The sequence below is a fragment of the Homo sapiens genome, chromosome 3 (genome assembly GCF_000001405.40).
Source record: "Homo sapiens chromosome 3, GRCh38.p14 Primary Assembly".
NCBI lineage: Eukaryota > Metazoa > Chordata > Mammalia > Primates > Hominidae > Homo > Homo sapiens.
Genome location: NC_000003.12, coordinates 34,308,331 through 34,328,325, shown reverse-complemented (window position 1 = coordinate 34,328,325; position 19,995 = coordinate 34,308,331). Strand labels below are relative to the sequence as shown.

Sequence of the window (19,995 nt, the reverse complement as noted above, 5' to 3'; positions counted from 1 at the left end):
ACATTGGAGAAAGTGCAAAGAGGGATGACTAATAAGCACATGAATTAGGACATGGTTGTCATACATTATCAAGAGCAACCACAGGAGAGAGGGCAAGGCACGGGATCCACAGCTTTCAGTGACTACTGAAACTACTTGATAAATATCATCAAGAACAAGAACAAGGACAAGGGCAAAAGTCAGTATTGGCCCTCAAGAATGTAGTAGTTGCCCTGGGATCCATCAGGGAAGTGGCATTGGTGTCTGAAGATTCAGCCAGAACACTACTGAAACTTTGAATAAGGATTATTTTTGTTGAAAATAGCAATGCTTCCAGCATCTAGATGATGTGGATGATGTACCTGGAGTTATCCATGTGTGAAGAAAGCAATAGAAAAGAAACCTTTGAGGAAGGTCTGAATTAAACTAATGATTCTCTCACTTAGTCAGAACATATACACCTGCTTTCCTCGTGGAATTTTAGGGTTAAATGTTACCTTTATTCCAAAACACATACATTTTGTTTCTTAGCAGGTTGGCGGTATATGAAATTATGAAAACGGTCTGAGAGATTAGATTTCAGAGTCTGACTTCCTTTCTTGCTGGCACTGCAGCCTCAAGTAAGTTATTTACAATTTCTAAACTTCAGCTTTTTCCTTACAGTAAGTGTATAAGTTACTTGGGTGAAAATTAATACCTTCACAGTGCTAAATCTTCTCATTCACTTTGTATCTCTTAGTAAAGTTTTCCTTGTGCCACATTTCTTGTTGACTATATATTCCTGGATGTTATATAATTTTCTTGCTATGAAGACAGAGATATTTTTCCTAATAATATCCACAAGTATGCAATAAACCTAATTGTGTTTTATATGCATATTTTTCTAACTAGCCACTGTAGGAAACTCTTTTATTAGTCCTACTACTTTTGCAGTTGATTTTTTTAGTTCTTTAGGAAAATAATAATACAACTTAGAACTTACTAGAGTCTAAGTTCTATGAACATGCAGATTCGTGACGGCTAATTTTCAAGCACCAGGCAGAGTAACTGGAACATCCTAGGAACTTTTATTAGTCAGTTTTTTCTTTGTTATACTGCTGAAACAGGTAACTAACTGCTCAGTTGATTTAATCAACAAGAGTTTATCTCAGTCACATTATGTGTTGGCAGCAGGTAGGCTGAAACTCTGTTCTACAGCTGTAGGTCTCTTTATATCTTTTTTTAAATCCCAGAATCCATGCTGATAGAGCAGATCCTTTCTAGGACATCTTTTCTCCTGGCAGAAAGGAAAGAACAATAGCAGAACCACAGGTAAAGCTCATTCTTAAATCTTCTGCTTAGATGTTGTACACAACACTCCTGCTCATAATCCATTGGCCAAAAGAAGTCATATGGGTAAGCCTAAGAACAACAGGGAGCCATGTTTCTCCTACAGGGAAACACTGCAAGTCACAAAGCAACAAGCAGGGATGTATTAATCCTTTTTCGGGTAGGGCAGCAATTTGGGAACAACACAATTCATCACAGTACTCAGGAAATGCTTGCTGAATAAATAAATGATTGCTTACTTTTTATTTTACCTTTGTCTTGTATGGACATGTATTGGATTTGGATTTTGGTTTTTCTTTATTCCTAGAATTTCAAAATATTTTTAGGCTATCTTGGGGAATGAGTGTCTATTTATTCATCTTGTCTAGACCTTAGCGAATCTTTCATACCTCTAGATTTGGTTTTGGTGGGATTGTATTTTGTTTTAATCTTAGAGAAATGTACTTTTACACAGTTGTCTCTTATTTTCAGTTTTACAGTCTGCTCTTTCTCTAAGTTTTGTTGTAAGTATAGTTGATATCCTACATCTGTTCCCCACATATCTTTTCTTACAAAGTTTTAATATCTTCATTTTTCTCTGAGCTCTGGGAGTATTTCTCTTGCAGTTACCAGGCTCCTAAATCTGTTTCCTGTGAGGGGCATCATTGTTCATTATTTCATGTAACTGATTTATTTAAGTTTTCTTTATGACTGTCTTACCTTAGAAGGATCAGGGAAAAAAGAAAGCATGTGTCAGCCTCCATAGAGCATTTTTCAATAGATTAATACATGTTTTTCCCTCAAAAGAAAATTAAAATTAAAATCACATGACTAAGTTTGTGTTGGACATTGTGTTTTGGTCTGAAATGTGTGATAAATCAATGAAACCTGGGTAGACATATGTTTTTATTTTTATTATAGGTAAGGGACTCATTAATCTCATTTTGCCCATTTTCCTAGCACAACTAATTGTTCTTATTTTAACTCTTAGAAAGGGTCTGGTTTGGAAAATACATTACGTGGTCACTCTAATCATTAGTCAACTTTTGTTTCCTTAAAAAACAAAGAAATTAAGAATAATTCAACCCCACTCTTCTGGATATTCTTAGGAGGATATCAGTTGCTGAAAAACAATTTCTCACTTCTGATGTTACATCCTTGAGGAAGTGCAAATCTGAGCCTGTTTTGATAAACAAGTACGGAGAAAAGAAATGCTATAAAAGGGCTGGTCTGTAGACAAACAACGGGATTACTGCATTTGATTAATATATCCACACTTCCCTGGTCTCTGCAGATGATAAAAAGCAGAGTTCACAAGGAGCAGGTTCATGGCCACGCCATATCCATCATTAGGGAAAGTATTAGCTTTCTCTGGTATTCACCTGGCCAGAGACTGGAGCAAACCTTCTTTCTGTGTTCACAACACCAAACAATTGAGACTCTTTTTCTTTTGGTAAATTTGTTTTATCTGAGTTCTAGCTACATAAGCTTTTGGGAAGGCTAATGGAAAATGAAATAAGAAACAGATAAATTATTCAAGTTAGTCCAGAAGTCCTACTGCAATAGACTTCTTTGAAGATCTTTTTTTAATTCCAATTAATTTTTTGTCTCCAAGAACTTTTTCCTATTTCCATGAAAAATTATTGTTTCATGATTCTCTACTTTTGTTTTATTGACTCAATCTTCTCTCTGATCTCATTGAATTATTATTTATTCTTTTAATAGCAATAAGTTCTTTTTTAATGGACTATTTGTCCATACTGGTATCCTTGTTATTACTATTTTTATAGATAGATGATAGATAGATAGATAATAGATAGATAGATAGATAGATAATAGATAAACAGTTACAGATACTATATATAGAAATATTGGTGAAGGTTTTTATGTTTATTCATTCTTATGTGATGGTAGGATATTTATGTTTGTTTAGTTTAAGGACCTATGTGCTATTGAAGGTTATATGGAGCAAATATAATAGTGTTCAAATCTTTAGGAAAAGACTGTGAGAAAAAGAAAAAATTTGAATTTATTGAGAAATAGTAATATTTTGAGAGACAGTATGGGTATGGGTGTATGTTGGTGAATACAGGCAGAAGAAACCAGATTTGAACAGAAACATCCTTTGGGGCTAAACATTCTTTCCAACTCCTAAGCCTTTTCTCCCTTCCCCAAACTTTCTACCTAACCAAACAGAAGGAAACCCACTGAGACAAGAATCCCCGCTCTAAACTAGCCTAGTATTCTCATGACCTTCAGTTCAACATGCACATCTCAGGCCATTTGGGGTGCCACTGCAGGATTATTCCCACTCTGTATAAATCCTTGAACATTGTATAGGGTTTGTTGGAAGCTCTAACATGATTATAATTTGCTCCTCACATATATTCATTGCCAGTAACTAATCCTCATTTCTAGGCCCTGTTTGTTCAGTCAGGAGGAATTTATCAAGCTTTTTGTTTGGTTGGTTTTGTTTTGTTTGCCAGGGGTCTTCTTAAATTCCTAGGTAGGCAATTCATCTCTATGAGGATAATGGAAACTAATCCATTCTTTTTTTCTTCATTCTTATCTCTACTGTTTCTTCCCATAAATCTCTAAAGTTTTAGGATGATACCATTTGCTAATTCATAGCCATGATATAGGAATTTCTTTGTTAATAGATCACATTCATGAAGGTGTGAAAGAATGAAAGAATTAGTGCTGTGGGCTTAGATGGCTGTATAGAACAGAAGTTGGGAGAAGTCTATTACTCTGTTTCAATGTGCTTAAAATCGTATGTCCAGTTCATTCCAGTATGCAGATATTTCGGTGGGTTTCAAAGTAACCCCATGAAACATTCTTCAGTCACATGAAATGGCAAAGTGATCCTTCATCTGAGTCCTTCAGCAGACATCCCTTCCTTCTATAGCTTTGCCTCGTATCTCCAAGGCCACCAACAATTAAACCAATATGGGATTAGCAAGTTTAAATCACCAAATAATTGAATTGACTTTCCCAAGGTGACAGAACTGGGTATTCCCCTCTCAGTCTTGCCCTGGTTCTGGAGCCAGGCTGCTCTCTTATTTAAGGTACTGAAGCTACATAACTTATTTGTTGGAATTTATGCTCTAAGAAGCTCATTAGTGTTACACCCTTTTTCTCAGCATGTGATCCAACATTGGAATCATTGCCAATAAAGATTCCATCATACTTTTGGTGCTTTATGTATGTAGGTAATTATTATCACGTTGCTACTATGTGGTTTAGGGAGGTTGGTTTTAGGGTGAGGGGGTAGAGGCACAGTTTAGTTATTAGTGGCACCACTGTCTCTGTTTATAGTTCTGTTTAACCACTCAGCAAAACGCTGGCTATTTAAGAGTTTCAACTGAACAGCAATTTGTGAAAAAAGATATGTGAGTTTACTGGAGTTATTTTTAACTTTGAGCTCCACCTACACACACCTGCTAAAATTGTGGGCAAGATGGAAGACATGTGGTAACAGTCCTTGGGCTGAAAAAAATCAGAGGAATCTAAGAGAAGCTTAAGGGCTCTGGGATCCTCTTAAGGGAATTGCAGAGTCTGTGAAAATGTTTCATCCAGGTGTCTTCCCTCTATTTTGAAGATTCAAACAACCAGAAGAAGAACAAATTGCCGATTTGAATTCCCAATAGGAAGCATTAATGTGTAGACCTTCAGAACAGACTGTCCTCACCTGAAAAGATCAGTAAGTCATGCATATTAATAAAGATGAGATTAAGGCCTAAAGAGGTTAACAGTTTTATTTTCAGTTAGGTAAATAGTGGACTTGGGTATTCTAATTCCTAGCCCAGAGTTCTCATCACCACCCCACACACACTACGTTCAAAGGTGTGTGTCCATAATGGTCTTGGCAAGTAAGTGACACTTCATTCAATAAGACTGATCCTTGGCTGGGCATGGTGACTTATGCCTATAATCCCAGCACTTTGGGAGGCCAAGGTAGGGGGATTGCTTGAGCTCAGGAGTTGAAGACCAGCCTGGCCAACATGGTGAAACCCATCTCTACAAAAAAATGCAAAAACTAGCCAGGTGTGGTGGGTGTGTGCCTATAGTCCCAGCTACTTGGGAGATGGGTGTGGGGGCTGAGGCAGGAGGATAGCTTGAGCCTGGGAGGTCAAGGCTACAGTAAGCCATGTTTGTGCCACTGCACTCCAGCCTGAGTGACAGAGTGAGACCCTGAAAAAAAAAAAAAAAGACTGATTCTTAATTTCCAAAAAAGACACCTATACTAAAAGCTTTCAGCTATCTCTGATTATCCTCTCTCTTACACTTCCGATCACTGAGGGGGGACTGTTCAAGCTTTCATATCCATATCTACCCTCTCTTTTCCTGCTCCACAGGTGCTGTTTTACCCAGGCCTTCAGCATTTGGGGCTCAGTTCTTGTGATGGCATCTTAATGCACTCCTTTTCTTTTACTCTCTCACTTTCCAGGTCTCCATACAACCAACAGGTGTGTCTTCTTCCTGTGTGATTTGGACCACTTCCTTCCTGAACAATCTGTTCCAGATTCTCATTGTTTACACAATCCCATCAAAAATCCTTAGCACAGCTTCTCAGGGTCTGAACCTAAAAGGATTATGCTGCTTCATCTCTCACAATTTCTGTTTACCAACTCTATGCTCCTGACACAGGGGCCTGCCAGACTTTTCCAGGAAAAAAAAGCCATGGATTTTGACTTCCTTTCAGTGCCCCAGGTCTTGATACATACTATACTTCTATCTAGAATACTATGCTTTTCTTTGCAAATTATCACAATTTGAAACAATGTATTTAATTGAATGTGGATGAACAAAATAGTTGAATTTAGTACTTATTCATTCCACTTTGTTTATATTCCATAATTTACTCCTCCAATTCCTCTAGGTTAATAGCTCATTGAGAATCAGAACCATAGTACCCTACTCCTATGTCAAGCACCATGTATTCTTCACGGAGAAGAATAGTTAGTTACCCTGTTATGCCCTTCTTATGTGTTCCTGCTGCTGTGATGTCCCACAAGTAAGTCTGCTGCCAGGGCATCCTGACCTAATTGGTATGTGACCTGTATATCCCACTTTCCTATCATGGCATGCCCAGAAAAATGGAATATAATCAAGGCTACTGTTACAATGACGGTCTGGTCCATACCTAGCTGCTACCACTGATCTCCCCAAAGCCAGATGCATACCAAAATCAACGAGAAGGCTCTTGGTCAAATGTGCACAATGCCAACACAGGCCATGCCTGGCCAAGGACTGAGGCCTAATGATCTGGCTGGCAGTTCTTAGGAAGGGAAATTGTCCAAAAATTAGATGCTAATTTCCCCACAGGGTCTCCTGAGGCCACTTTTCAGAGGAAGAATCCTTGAAAAGCAAGAGTTCTGATAGAGGAATAGTTCTCTTAAAGTTACTAAGGATTGGCCCGGCATGGTGGCTCATGCCTGTAATCCCAACACTTTGGGAGGCTGAGGCGGGTGGATTGCCTGAGCTCTGGAGCTCGCGACCAGCCTGGGCAACACAGTGAAACCTCGTCTCTACTAAAATACAAAAAATGAGCTGGGCATGGTGGTGCGCGCCTGTAGTCCCAGCTACTCAGGAGGCTGAAGCAGGAGAATCACTTGAACCCAGGAGGCAGAGGTTGCAGTGAGCCGAGATCACACCACTGCACTCCAGCCTGGGTGACAGACTGACACTCCATCTCAAAAAAAAAAACAAAAAAAAAAAACAAAAAAAAACTTACTAAGTATCTTTATGCAGAAGGGAGACAAGACTTAATGGGGAAAATGTCGTCCTAGGGGATGAAGGACATTTTCCCTATTTCTCGGCAAGGGGATTAGTCTTCATGTGGGAAAGGTCCTCATTGGAAAAGATCCTTATAGAAATAGGGTCCACATGGAAGAAGATTTCTCATGGGTAGAGGAACCTCAGGAAGAAAGGGTTCCTAAAGGGAAAATGTCCTCATGAGAAAGTGTCCTCGTAGGGAACAGTCCTCATGGGGAAAGGTCCTTGTACAGGAAGAATCCTCTTGATTTTAGAATCCCTATAGGAAAATGTCTTTGTGGAGGAAGAGTTTCTGTCAGTAATCTTTTTGAGAACTATTCCTCTACCAGGACACTTCTTCTTTCCAAGAAGAGTGGGAAATGTAAGGATGAGGCTACTAGTGTGCATGTTTGGAAGAAAATCAGTGGACCTAATAATAGCAAAGTTTCAATGAACTCATCATACTGTGTACCAGGCACAGCATGGTACCCTTTACAGTAGTAGCTCGTTTAAACCTTAATAATACCAGGAGGTAGGTACTATTATCATATCCATTTAATGAGGATAAAACTGAAGAACAACAAGGATAAGTAACTTTCCTAAATCATACAACTGGAACATGGTAGAACCAGAGTTTGAAGCTAGAACCCAGTTTCTGGCCATTACACCATTCTACAATACAGCCAAAGACCTTACATTAATCTGCCATCAGAAAAAAGTCAAAGATTCTATAACCCTGGATCAGGATTCCACAGTTTATTAGACTTTATTGCTTTCCCATTTTGTTAACTCTGAAATAACTCCTTCCCAGAAGAATAAACAACAAAATTCTTAAAACACAAAGGTTTTAGTATTTGTTTCAAAGAAGCTGAAGAGACTGAGTTTCTCTTACTACTAAGTTTTGAAAGAGGAAAATCCAGTGTTGTAGTGCAAATTGGCTACTATTGAGAATAAAAAGCAAAAGAGAATAGGTCCTTGGAGGATTGGTTCGAGGAAAAAGTCAGCTCAAAGAGCCAGTTTGGGGCTGACTAGAGAGAGCTTCCCACGGGTTCTTGACAGTTATCAGCATATCCGATGGCATGCAGAAGTCCAATATGAACCCAATCCTAAGACACTGCCTGAGGCCTCTCTGAAAGAACACCCATCACTTGCAGCTGGGCATCAGCCCAGGAAACAAGCATCTGCCTTTAGATTTAGACTGTGCTCCTGCCCAAGGGCCGCCTAAATTATAATTCCAGGTGTTGCAAGAACAGTACACCAATTTTTTTTTCAAGTCTGGCCAATGTGCTTTCTGAGAGCCCTAACCAAACAAGACTTCCAGACGTGAAGCAAAAAGAAAGCAAGTGGGAAGGACACAAATGCCAGATAATAACCCAGAAAACTAGTGAACTAAAGGGAATTTCTGTGGGCCATACTGAACATTAACTTTCAATAGCTAAGGGCAAAAATTAATCCCAGGGTAAAGCAGATTACTGATTAAATGACAGAGTGTTTAAGGCTACAATCTTGAATTCAAGTCATGGATAGCTTTGTGTCAACCCTTACACCAAGTTGCTCCACACACAATAACTAGTTGATCCCATGTAAAGATAAGCTACAAATAAAAATGGACCAGCTTCAAATCTACTCATTAAAAAATAATAATAAAGAAGAAAAAAGGAAAATAACACAAGATAAAAGGCATCCATAAGGAAATAGAAGACTCGTGCAAATAATTCTTCAAAGTCTCAAAGAATTACATGAAACTCTTTCTTTTAAAAAAGGACTTCAAGGCTAGGTGCAGTGACTCATGCCTGTAATCCCAGCACTTTGGGAGGCCGAGGTGGGCAGATCACTCGAGGTCATGAGTTCAAGATCAGCCTGGCCAACATGGCGAAACCCTGTCTCTACTAAAAATACAAAAATTAGCCAGGCGTGGTGGCGGGTGCCTGTAATCCCACCTGCTCAGGAGACTGAGGCAGGAGAATCTCTTAAACCTGGAAGGCAGAGGCTGCAGTGAGCCAAGCACACCACTGCATCCCAGCCTGGGCAACAGAGCAAGACTCTGTTTCAATAAAATACAGAAGTAAAATAAAATAATAAAATAAAAATAAAAAAGGACTTCAAAAAGAGAACTAAAGGTTCAAAAGCTTCAAAAGAGATTATAAGATAATAAAAGGAGTAATAAAGTGAGCTGATAAAGCTCAAGTAGAAATGTAAAAGAAAAATGAAAACATTGCAGAGATTAAAGCCATATTAAAAGCAGAACTCTATTGACTCTATCTATCTATATATATAATTAAAACACAGCCAAGACCCTAACAGGGTTCAGGTAATTATTCAAACAGTCAGAAAAATAACAAAGATATTCAAATTATTTTTAAGAGGACTGATAAACTAAAAGCAAAGAAGAATCAACATATATATATATGTATGTATGTGTATATATATATACATATATATACACATACATACATATATATACACATATATATAAAAATATATATATACATTATATATATATATATAATTGGTATCCTGAGAAAGAACAAAAAAATTAACAATAGTAGAAGTAAATTTGCCTAGAATAAAGAAATATTACATCCTGAGGGGGAGTAGTAGAGGTAATTGATTACAGAATATTCACCGACAATTCTATCGTAATGAAAGTATCAAACATCAAGAATAAAAATAAAATAAATTAGAAACTCAGGCTTCCACTTTTGATAATAACAGAGTAGGTACTTCAGGCCAGTTCTCCAACTGGACACTCAAGAATTAAAAGCAAACAGAAATAAGGAGGCAAGAAAATCTAAACTAAAACACAAACAAACAAAGAAAAAACCAAGAGAAACAAGAAGCAAGTAAAACACCTTACAGAAGTTTAAGATAATGGAGTTCCCAAACAAACTTAGAATAACCATCCTTAATATATTCAAGGAGATAAAATACAAGATTGAAGATTTTGAAAGATAATTAAGAATTATGGAACTAAACCAAATCAAAATTCTTGAACTGAAAAATACAATTAGCTAAATCAAGAATATTATGTACAGGTTTAGACACTGGTGAAAAAAGAATTATTGAACTGGAAGCAAGTTTAGAAGAAAATATCAAACGTGAAACATGGAAAGATAAAAGGATGAGAAATACAGGAAAGGGGTTAGAAAAAAAGTAAGAAACACTGACATCATAAAATCTCAGAATGGAAGGATTGTACGGAAGCAATATTTGAAGCAATTATGGGTAAGAACTTTTTTTTTTTTTTGAGACACAGTCTCTCTCTGTCGCTAGGCTGGAGTAGTGCAGCGGTGAAATCTTGACTCACTGCAACCTCCGCCTCCAGGGTTCAAGCAATTCTCCTGCCTCAGCCTCCTGAGCAACTGGGATTACAGGCACGTGCCACCACGCCCACCTAATTTTTGTATCTTCAGTAGAGGCAGGGTTTCACTATGTTGGCCAGGATAGTCTCGATCTCCTGACCTTGTGATCCACCCACCTCGGCCTCCCAAAGTGCTAGGATTACAGGTGTGACCAACTGCACCCAGTAGGGTAAGAGCTTTTTTAAACACTGATGAAAAACTTTAAGCTACAGGTTCAAGAAAACCTAAACGGAGTAATTAAAAAAAAAAAGTTAAGCTTCTCATAATAAAATTGATGAAACTAAATAAAAGAGAGTCTTTAGAAAAGTGTTATGGTCCCTTACAGAGGCAGATGGACCCCAACCCAAAATTTGGTTCACATGTCAAGACTGAAGGTGCTGCACACACATTAAAAGAGTATGAAGAGGTTTATTATTTACATAATTGAGGTCTCTGGGGAGAGCAGAGCAAGCCTCTCAAGCAGGTCTGAAATGGCTTGAGAGAGCAAGGAAAAAAAATACTGGCCTAGGTTTTTACTGGGTTTAGAGGGTGGGACAGGGTGAGAGTTTCCTCACATGGGCAGAGACTCACATGGTTTGAGTGCGGCTGGTGCCAAAAGAGGATGCACTCAAGCTTTCTTATCAACTTGTCCAAATGTGGGGCAGAAAGGAAAGAAGATGGAGTGAGTCTTAAAAATTGTTAGCAGTCAAATATTTTTTAATATGGCATCAGACTCCTCATTACAACGAGTGACTATCAGGCTGATAGGTGACTAACATCTCATTAAAAACAACAGAATGAGAAGACAACTGACACATAACTTCAAAGTGCTGAAAGACAACAGTATCTCTTTAGAATTCAATACTCAGCAAACATATTCAGAGAATGAAGGTGAAATAAAGACAAAAATTAAAAGAATTCATTAGCAACAGATCCAGACCACATTTAGGGAAATAGCAAAGGATGTTCTTCAGGCAGAAAGAAAATGATCTCATATGGAAGCTTGGAGATGAAGAAAGAAACAAAGAGCAACAAAACGCTAAATATGTGTCAACCTAAATGCATATTTTTGTGTTTTATATGGTTTAAAATACAGAGAGAATGAAAATGTGCAACAAATACAACAACTCATATAAGTTGATAAGATGTTAAACAGAGTTAACATTTTTAACATTGTCTAGGAAGAAGACAAAAGCTCCAAATAACAATAGACTTTGATTAAGACAGATATATATGTTATTATCTCTAGAGGAATCACTAAAATAAATATATATAAAAGGGGAAAGACTCAAAAGGACATCTAGACAGAAAGAGAAAGTTATATATAGACTTATGGGGTGTGTGTGGGTGGGGGGAATGTGAGTGTGTGTGTGTGTTGGAAAGGGATTTGGTGAGGTTTTTATTGATCTCAGCTTTACCCAAAGCAACATTTAGTATCAGTAGAAAATGGTGCAATATGCATAAATTCTAAGTAAAAGAAGGTATGACAATAATTGTATACATAGCCAAGTGATTATTCAAATTCAAATGAAACTGAGAAATATCCTGAAATATTCAAGAACTCAGGAAATCCAACACCTATGAGCCCTGCATGAAAAGATGTTATTAGAATAATAAAATATGCATAAAAAGCAATAAATCAAAATAAAGAAAAAAGAATGGAAATGCCAAGGTGAAGCTGATGATCTGTTTAAAAATAGAAGAAAAATTGACAATTGTGGGAATTACAGTTAGAAAAAGGGCTTTAAATATTATAAAACTTGACAATATTAAAATAACTAATAAAATTAGAAGTGCTGAGGAAAGACAGAAAAAAATATGTTTGCTATTTTTTTCATCTTTTTAGCAAAGATTTCCAAAGGTACACTCCAAAGTCAAATTATGTGGCTCAAATATTATTCCAAATTCATAAAAGTTTTCATAATTGTTTAGAAATATGTTTTATAATAAAGAAATATTTACCTTGAGTGCAGCCATTTTAATTACAACTTACCTTGTACTTTTTAGGTAAATTTCTAAACCTCTACCTACATACCTAGTTGGTTATCTGTGTATAAACATGGAGAGATATCTGAAGTAATTTTCATCAGAACTTTGTTGATTACTTCTAGGTTTTGTTTTTTGTTTTGTATCTGGGAAGTGGAATTTGGAAGAATTTTTACCTTTCTATGATCTTCTCTGTTGATTAAATGTTTTATGAAGGGCAAGTAGCATTTTTTAAATAATAAAAGTCATTCTTATAAAATAAACAACAAAATTGGAGAACTATTTGCAACATATATGACAAGCAATAGTTAATATAGAGCAATCTAAATAGCAACAGGAAAAAGACAAATACCAGAGAACATGGGCAAAAGACATGAAGACCCACAAGCACAGCCAACCAAAGCAAACATGGACAAATGGGATCACACCAAGTTAAAAAGCTTCTGCACAGCCAAGGATAAAATCAAGAAGGTGAAGAGACAACCCACATAATGAGAGAAAATATTTGCAAACTACCCACCTGACAAGGGCTTGATAACCAGAATATATTAGCTTGGTGCAAAGTAATGGCAAAAACTGCAATTACTTTGTACCAACCTGATATAAGGAGTTCAAACAACTCTGTAGGAAAAATACTTAATAATCCAATCCCAAAATGGGCAAAAGATTTAAATAGACATTTCTCAAAAGAAGACATACAAATGGAAACAGGCATATGAAAAGGTGCTCAATATCACTGATCATCAGAGAAATGCAAATCAAAACTACAATGAAATATCATTTCACACCAATTAAAATGACGTATATCCAAAAAACAGGCAATAACAAATGCTGGCAAGGATATGGAGAAGAGAGAACCCTTGGACACTGTTGGTGCTAATGTAAAGGAGTACAACCACTATGGAGAACAGTTTGGAGGTTCCTCAAAAAACTAAAAATTGAGCTACCATATGATCCAGCAATCCCACTCCTGAGTATATACCCAAAAGAAATCAGTATATCAAAGAGATATCTGCACTCCTATGTTTGTTGCAGCACTGTTTACAATGGCTAAGATTTGGAAGCAACCTAAGTGTCCATCAATAGATGAATGAATAAAGAAAATGTGGTACTTAGACACAATGGAGTACTATTCAGACAGAGAAGGAATGAGATCCTGTCATTTGCAACAACTTGCATGGAACTGGAGATCATTATGTTAAGTGAAATAAGCCAGGCACAGAAAAAAAAAAAAAATCACATGTCCTCACTTATTTGTGGGATCTAAAAATCAAGTCAATTGAACTAATGGAATAAAGAATAGAAAGATGGTTACCAGAGGCTAGGAAGGGTAGTGGGGTATTAGTGGGGAGGTGGGGATGGTTAATGAGTACAAAGAAAACAGAAAGAATGAATAAGACCTACTATTAATAGCACAAGAGGGTGAATACAGTCAATAACAACTTAATTGTATATTTTAATATAACTTAAAGAATGTAATTATTTGTAATTCAGAAAATAAATGCTTCAGGGGATGTATACCCCATTCTCCATGATGTGATTATTACACATTGCATGCCTGTATCAAAACATCTCATGTCCCACATATATATACATACTATGTACCCACATTTTTAAAATAATAAAAATAATAATAAAAAGATATGAAGAGCCAACACATGAAGAAAAAAGAGCAAATATCTATAAATAAATAAACAATATGATCTACTCTATTAATCCAAGCACAAAAAATAAAAACAGAAGATACAAATATTTGTTTATCAGTTTGGTAAAAAATTGAAACACTACTGGTCTACTTTTGGTGAAGGTATGTAAGTGACCTACTTGTGCATTATTGGTGTGTGACTCCTAGTTCACTTTTACATCCTATAGGCATCTTTTACATCTACTTTGCATCCTATAGGCATCTTTTAGGCATCCTATAGGCATCTTTTACATCTACTTTTACATCCTATAGGCGTATAATTTAGAGAAGACAAAGTGTGTTGTGTATTTTTAAATATAGGGAATTTTAGGCAAAACAGGACATTTAAGAGATATCATATGGCACAATAAATATTCATGCATAGGAACTCTATTCATGTTCCAGTTCCCTTCCAAAATATTCAATCTTGTCTTTTCTCTCATATTCCACGAATAAGTTTCTGCCACTTCACAGTGATTTCCAAACTAATTTTATTACCTTGAATCAATAAAAACAACCAGAATTTTCATACACAACTATTGGGAGTGTGAAATGGTATAATCACTTTAGAGCACTGTTTGGCCATTTCTAATAAAGTTAAAATACATGTTCACTACAACCCAGAAATTCCACACCTAGCTGGGTACTCAAGAGAAATGAATTTATATGTCCATAAAACCTTACACAAAACTATTTATAACAGCTTTATTTATAATAAACAAAAACCCAATGTCCATCAACAGGAGAACAACTAAATTGTGGTTTATTCATACAATGAAATATTACTCAACAATTCAAAGGCATGAGCTACTAATATGTACAATAACATGCATGAATCTCATAAAACTTATTGAGCAAAAGAAGCCAGATGCAAAAGAGTACACATTTTTTGCTTTAATGTACATGAAGTTCTAAAACAGGCACAATTTATCTATGGGGGAAAATGTCAGAACAGTGGTTATCTTTGGGGAATGGAGCATTGACTGGGAAGACATGAGATAATTTTCAAGGGTAAGAGAATTGTTCTATATCTTGATCTGGGTGTTGGTTACAGATATATGCAAAGGTTAAAATTCTTCTAGCTGTACACTTATAACTTTTGCATTTTATTGAAATAAATTAGACCTCAATAAAGTACTGCTGGCTTGAAAGAAAGGCTATTTCCTCTACCTAAAAGGAACTGAACTCTAGTTGCTACTCCCATCCTCCAACCTTCCTAGTACCTTCTCTCCCAACACTTAGTAGATTCCCGCTTGCCTGGAAGTCACTATGGGCTGAAGAGGATCTGAAGAACTGTGTGGATTCAATCCAAGGAGAGAAAGGGGTGACTGACCTCATTTCATTACTTTGGATGAAGCTGTGTCTATGCTGTTCGGTAAAACAGCATAAATGTAAACGAGGTGTAAACTGCTTTCACATCTCATTTAGGAAACAGATGAGGCGTGAAATGCATTTCACAGGCACAAGTACTGGAGGGGCATGCTTAGCATGGTGCAATGTAGAACATTTGTTCCTCTTCCCTCAGGGATACTGGATTATTTCTGAACATGGCTACTGTAGAGGTAGGAGGAAAAGCCGGTGGGTGTAAGCGCAGGAGGAAAAAGATGCGATCTGCTCTCTTCTATCCTTATAATGCCTTCCTCCCTTTCTCGGCCTGCCTACCTCTTACACACCTGTTAAAGTCTAGCTCAAATATCACCTCTGTACTCACTACTCACTCTAGCTGATTCAGTGGTTCTATCTGGTCACTCAGAGCCCTTGGTTCAGCATTCAAATATGTTACTTACTTCCATCTATCTTGCCATCTATAATGGCACAGAATGCGTATTCTTTCTGTAATCAAGTGTTTAGACTCAGCAATTGCTCAATTAATTTTTTAGGAATTAATGTGAACTGAGGCAGGGGTGATAGGGAGGAAGAAAATGTATCTAGGGATGGCATTTTAGCAGTAAAACCTTTTCCAGACACCCAAAAGAAATATAAAGTTCCAAAGGCTGTTTAAGCTTTTAAGAGCTTAAAAGATTTATATCATTGTATATTTTTCAAAGACACACATGTACACAATCTTCAGGGCAAGGTTATTTGTAAAAATAAATGTGGGAATTATGTTTTTTGATCTTTGAAGCAATGTTTTGCCTCTTTTGTGAGAGGAAATTTGATATCCTAGGTTTATATTATTATGTCTCTATCACCTATTCCAAAATATTTGACTGGTTTTGTAGGCTTTTGCTCAATAATAAAGGCAGATGTTTTTGAAGAGAAGAGTTTGGGATTTTGTTCCCAATGTCATTGCCTGATAATAATTGCATACGTCTCCAAGTAAGTTGCAACTTACATATTAAACGTCAACTCTTTATTTAAGGTGACTAAAACAAGGATGATTCCAAGCTAGAACACAATGAAGCTATCATACTAGAGACATTTTACTTAGAGAATTTCAGTGAAGTCAGGGAAATTGAGGTGGTAGCATATTGTGAAATAAACAGTACACCGAGATTCAGACCTGAGATCAAGACTAGTGACAAACTTGACCTTAAAAAATTGCTTAACATCTCCAGACCTCCATTTTCTCCTATGTAAAATATGATCAGTTCTGGAATGTAATTTGTACTTGTTCTGTGATCTAATGATTGCTTTCCTAGAAAGATATTGCAGACAGGTACCTAAATTCAGATGCACCAAGATATTCATCCTCACATTGCTTATAAAAGCAAAGAATTAGAAACAAGCTGGATGCTTATCAATGTGGGCATGGATAAATTACATTTGCACATTAAATAGACCCACATATCCTAATTAAATTGGTCTCAAAAACAAAAGATTAGTGAAAATAAAAGATGCAGTCTGGGATTTATAGCACAAAAGCATTTAGGCAATCCCACTCAACAAAGAGGGGAATGAGAATGATTATTAGAGATAGAGGAGACAAAGATAATATAAAATATTGAATAAAATAAAAAGGAACTATATATGAAGTAATGATAAACTAGATATTAAATCTTGGTTTACCAAAGCAGACACAGACAAAGATAAGCAACTATTTCTAAGTGGGCAAAGTTTTATTTTCCCTGCTTATCTCATGTCAGAGCCCCAAAACCCAAGATTTTCAATAGCTTTAAACATGGCTTCACATTCTCATTCAGTCATCTACTGCATTTGCAAAGAGGTTAGGCCCCTTCATGTTTAAATAACATATGCTGTACATTGTAAGTGGTAGATTGTCACAGATTTTGCTCAATATTAGCAATCAAGGCATCTTTTATTGTTAGTGTGATGTTAATTGGGACCATGCTAACATTCAATTAATTTTAAGCACAATAGATCATTTGTCAACAAAGGGGGGTAAAAATATTAATTGAAACATATGTGAATGGTTATTTGCTGGGTGTAGGAAACATCCCACAATTAAAGTTAATCACAGTGTGATTAATTGATTTTAATTGATTCAAGATGGGTTCCTGTGGCATAACATAAGTCTGTCAATAAAACTTATAATGAAGCCTCATTATGAGAAAGCAAAGTTATTGAGTCAAGCAGTGAAGGGGTAAAGCGGAGGCAGGCTCTTTCTTTATAATGCAGAAGGAAAGAAAGACCAGCAGCCCAGGGAGGACAATAGTGACACAGAGACTCAGTGTTCTGGGAAGGTAGAAGAGACTCAGAATAGTCTTCAGCCAAATATGGGAGCATACTTAGGCCTGGGAAATGGAAAGTGATTGATCAAAGCTTTGAAGATGAAAGGGTTGGGCAAAAAGCTGAGTCCACAGGTGGATGGGGAAGGTCAGTAGGACCAGCAGCTCTATCCATCAAATATAGTAATAAACATGGCTCATGTACCCCATGGGGTGTACAGACACATGGAGCCAGGGTGTACTAGAGGCTCTAAAATGCACTGGAATGGGCAAGACCTCTCAGTCCTAGGAGACAAGAGTGGACTTTCTCTACTAATAAAGATTATGTTAGATCCTTTGCTGGTTAACATTGGCAGGGCTCCCAGAGCCTCCCGGGCCCTGGATGTCAGTCTTGACTGTTGTTCCTAACTACAGATGCCCATATGGCATCTAGGAACTCTTATTCAGGATTCTCACTTCAGCATTTGCTGATAGGTATTCAAGGACAATACTTTCATTCAATTATGCCAAACCTAGAAAATCAAAGTAATTATCACTTGTTTTCACTGTACACATGACATCTAAGGCCTTCCATGATGGAGTTCCATCAACTTCTATGACTTCTCCCTCAATTCATGAGGAAAGCTTGGAACCTGCCAACTAAGTGCTTTTATCTAGGTGTTGGGTGTGGGTGTAAAAACTTCGTGTTTTAGTTTGAATTCCACCCAAAGTAAAACTGTGGTATAATACATAAATCTAATTTTTGTCCTCAGTTCCTGGTATAGAATTTCAAAAACCCTTGGAATTTCCTGAGCGATAGGGGTATCTTTGTTATTCCAATGAGATGGCATATGGCAGGGTCCCTACATAGGTTCAGGATGTGGGCCAGTCACTAGGAAGACTAATCACATGATTAGAGGGTTAGAACTTTGACTCAGCCTAATCTCCAGGGAAAGGAGGGGAAGCTGGAGATTGAGTTCAATCATGTGGCAATTAGTTTATCAATTACACCTGTGTAATAAAACGCCAATAAAAATTATGGATGCTAAAACTCAGTGGAGCATTCTGGCTGATAAAAACATGAATGTGCAGGGAGAGTGGTACACCCAGATGCCACCAGGGAAGGGCATGGAAGCTTAGTGTCTCCTTTTCCTAGATCTTGTTTGATATGGTTTGCCTGTGTCCTCACCCAAATCTCATCTTGAATTATAGCTCCTATAATTTCCACATGTTGTAGGAGGGCTCCAGTGAGAGATAATTGAATCATGGGGGCAGTTTTCCCCATACTGTTCTCATGGTAGTGAGTAAGTCTCATGAGATCTGATGGTTTTTTAAGGGGAAACCCCTTTTTCTTGGCTTTCATTCTCTCTTGTCTGCCACCATGTAAGATGTGCCTTTCACCTTCCAGTATGATTGTGAGGCCTCCCCAGCCACATGGAACTGTGAGTCTATTAAACCTCTATTTCTTTATAAATTACCCAGTCTCAGATATGTCTTTACCTGCAGTATGAGAACAGACTAATAACATTGTCCTATGCATCTTTTCTATTTGGCTGTTCCTTAGTGGTATCCTTCATAATAAAACTGTAGTCATAAATATAGCACATTCAGTGAATTCTGTGGAATTTGTTCTAGCCAATTATTAAACATGAGGGGATCACAGAACTCTCTGAATTTATAGCCAGTAAATTAGAAATATAGGTGATCCCTGCGACTCGCAATTACCATCTGAAGTGAAGGCAGACTTGTGAAGGACTTTGGCCCTTCACATGGGGTCTGTGCTAATACCAGCTAGTTAGTGTCAAAATTGAACTGAATTGTAGGACGCCCAGTTGGTGTCAGAAAATTGATATAAGAACATGAAATCTTGAGACAAGAACTTGGGTGCAGTTCTTAAGACACAGTCCCAAGAATCAAAAGCAAAGAAGTGGGAAAAGTGAGACAGAGAAGGGAGAAAAAACAATATGGAGTATATTAATCGCTGGTTACCTCTGTGGGCAACTAAGACTTAGTGCTGTTGGAGATGATTTAAGGAACTATGAAGAACGCATGCCCAAGGACAGAGACGCCAAGACACTCCTCCACTGATTCTCTTCTCTAGTTAGTTAAGAATTGCTCTAGGAAGGTGGATTGTGATTGTTATTTTCTCTACTGCTCTGGCTGTATCTAGCAAAGCTAAATGGTTTTCTTGGCTTCAGAGAAATTCCTGAGTAAAGCATACATATATATATATATACGTATATATATGTGTGTGTGTGTGTGTGTGTATATATATATATATATATATATATATATGGTGTAGATGCCAGAAACATACAAAAATCAGGGGGCT

At 37.0% G+C, this 19,995-nt stretch overlaps 1 long non-coding RNA gene across 16 annotated transcripts in view; it reads right to left on the bottom strand.

The window, feature by feature from the left end:
- Window positions 1-19,995, bottom strand: part of LINC01811 (long intergenic non-protein coding RNA 1811) — a 276,733-nt gene that overhangs the window by 107,771 nt on the left and 148,967 nt on the right. For 3 of the 16 annotated variants that reach the window (NR_183686.1, NR_183679.1, NR_183685.1), the window contains one exon: window positions 4,728-4,978. The exons of the other annotated variants lie outside the window; for them this stretch is intronic. This is a non-coding gene — a long non-coding RNA (long intergenic non-protein coding RNA 1811). The remainder of the gene's footprint in view (window positions 1-4,727; window positions 4,979-19,995) is intronic. 16 annotated transcript variants of the gene reach the window in all.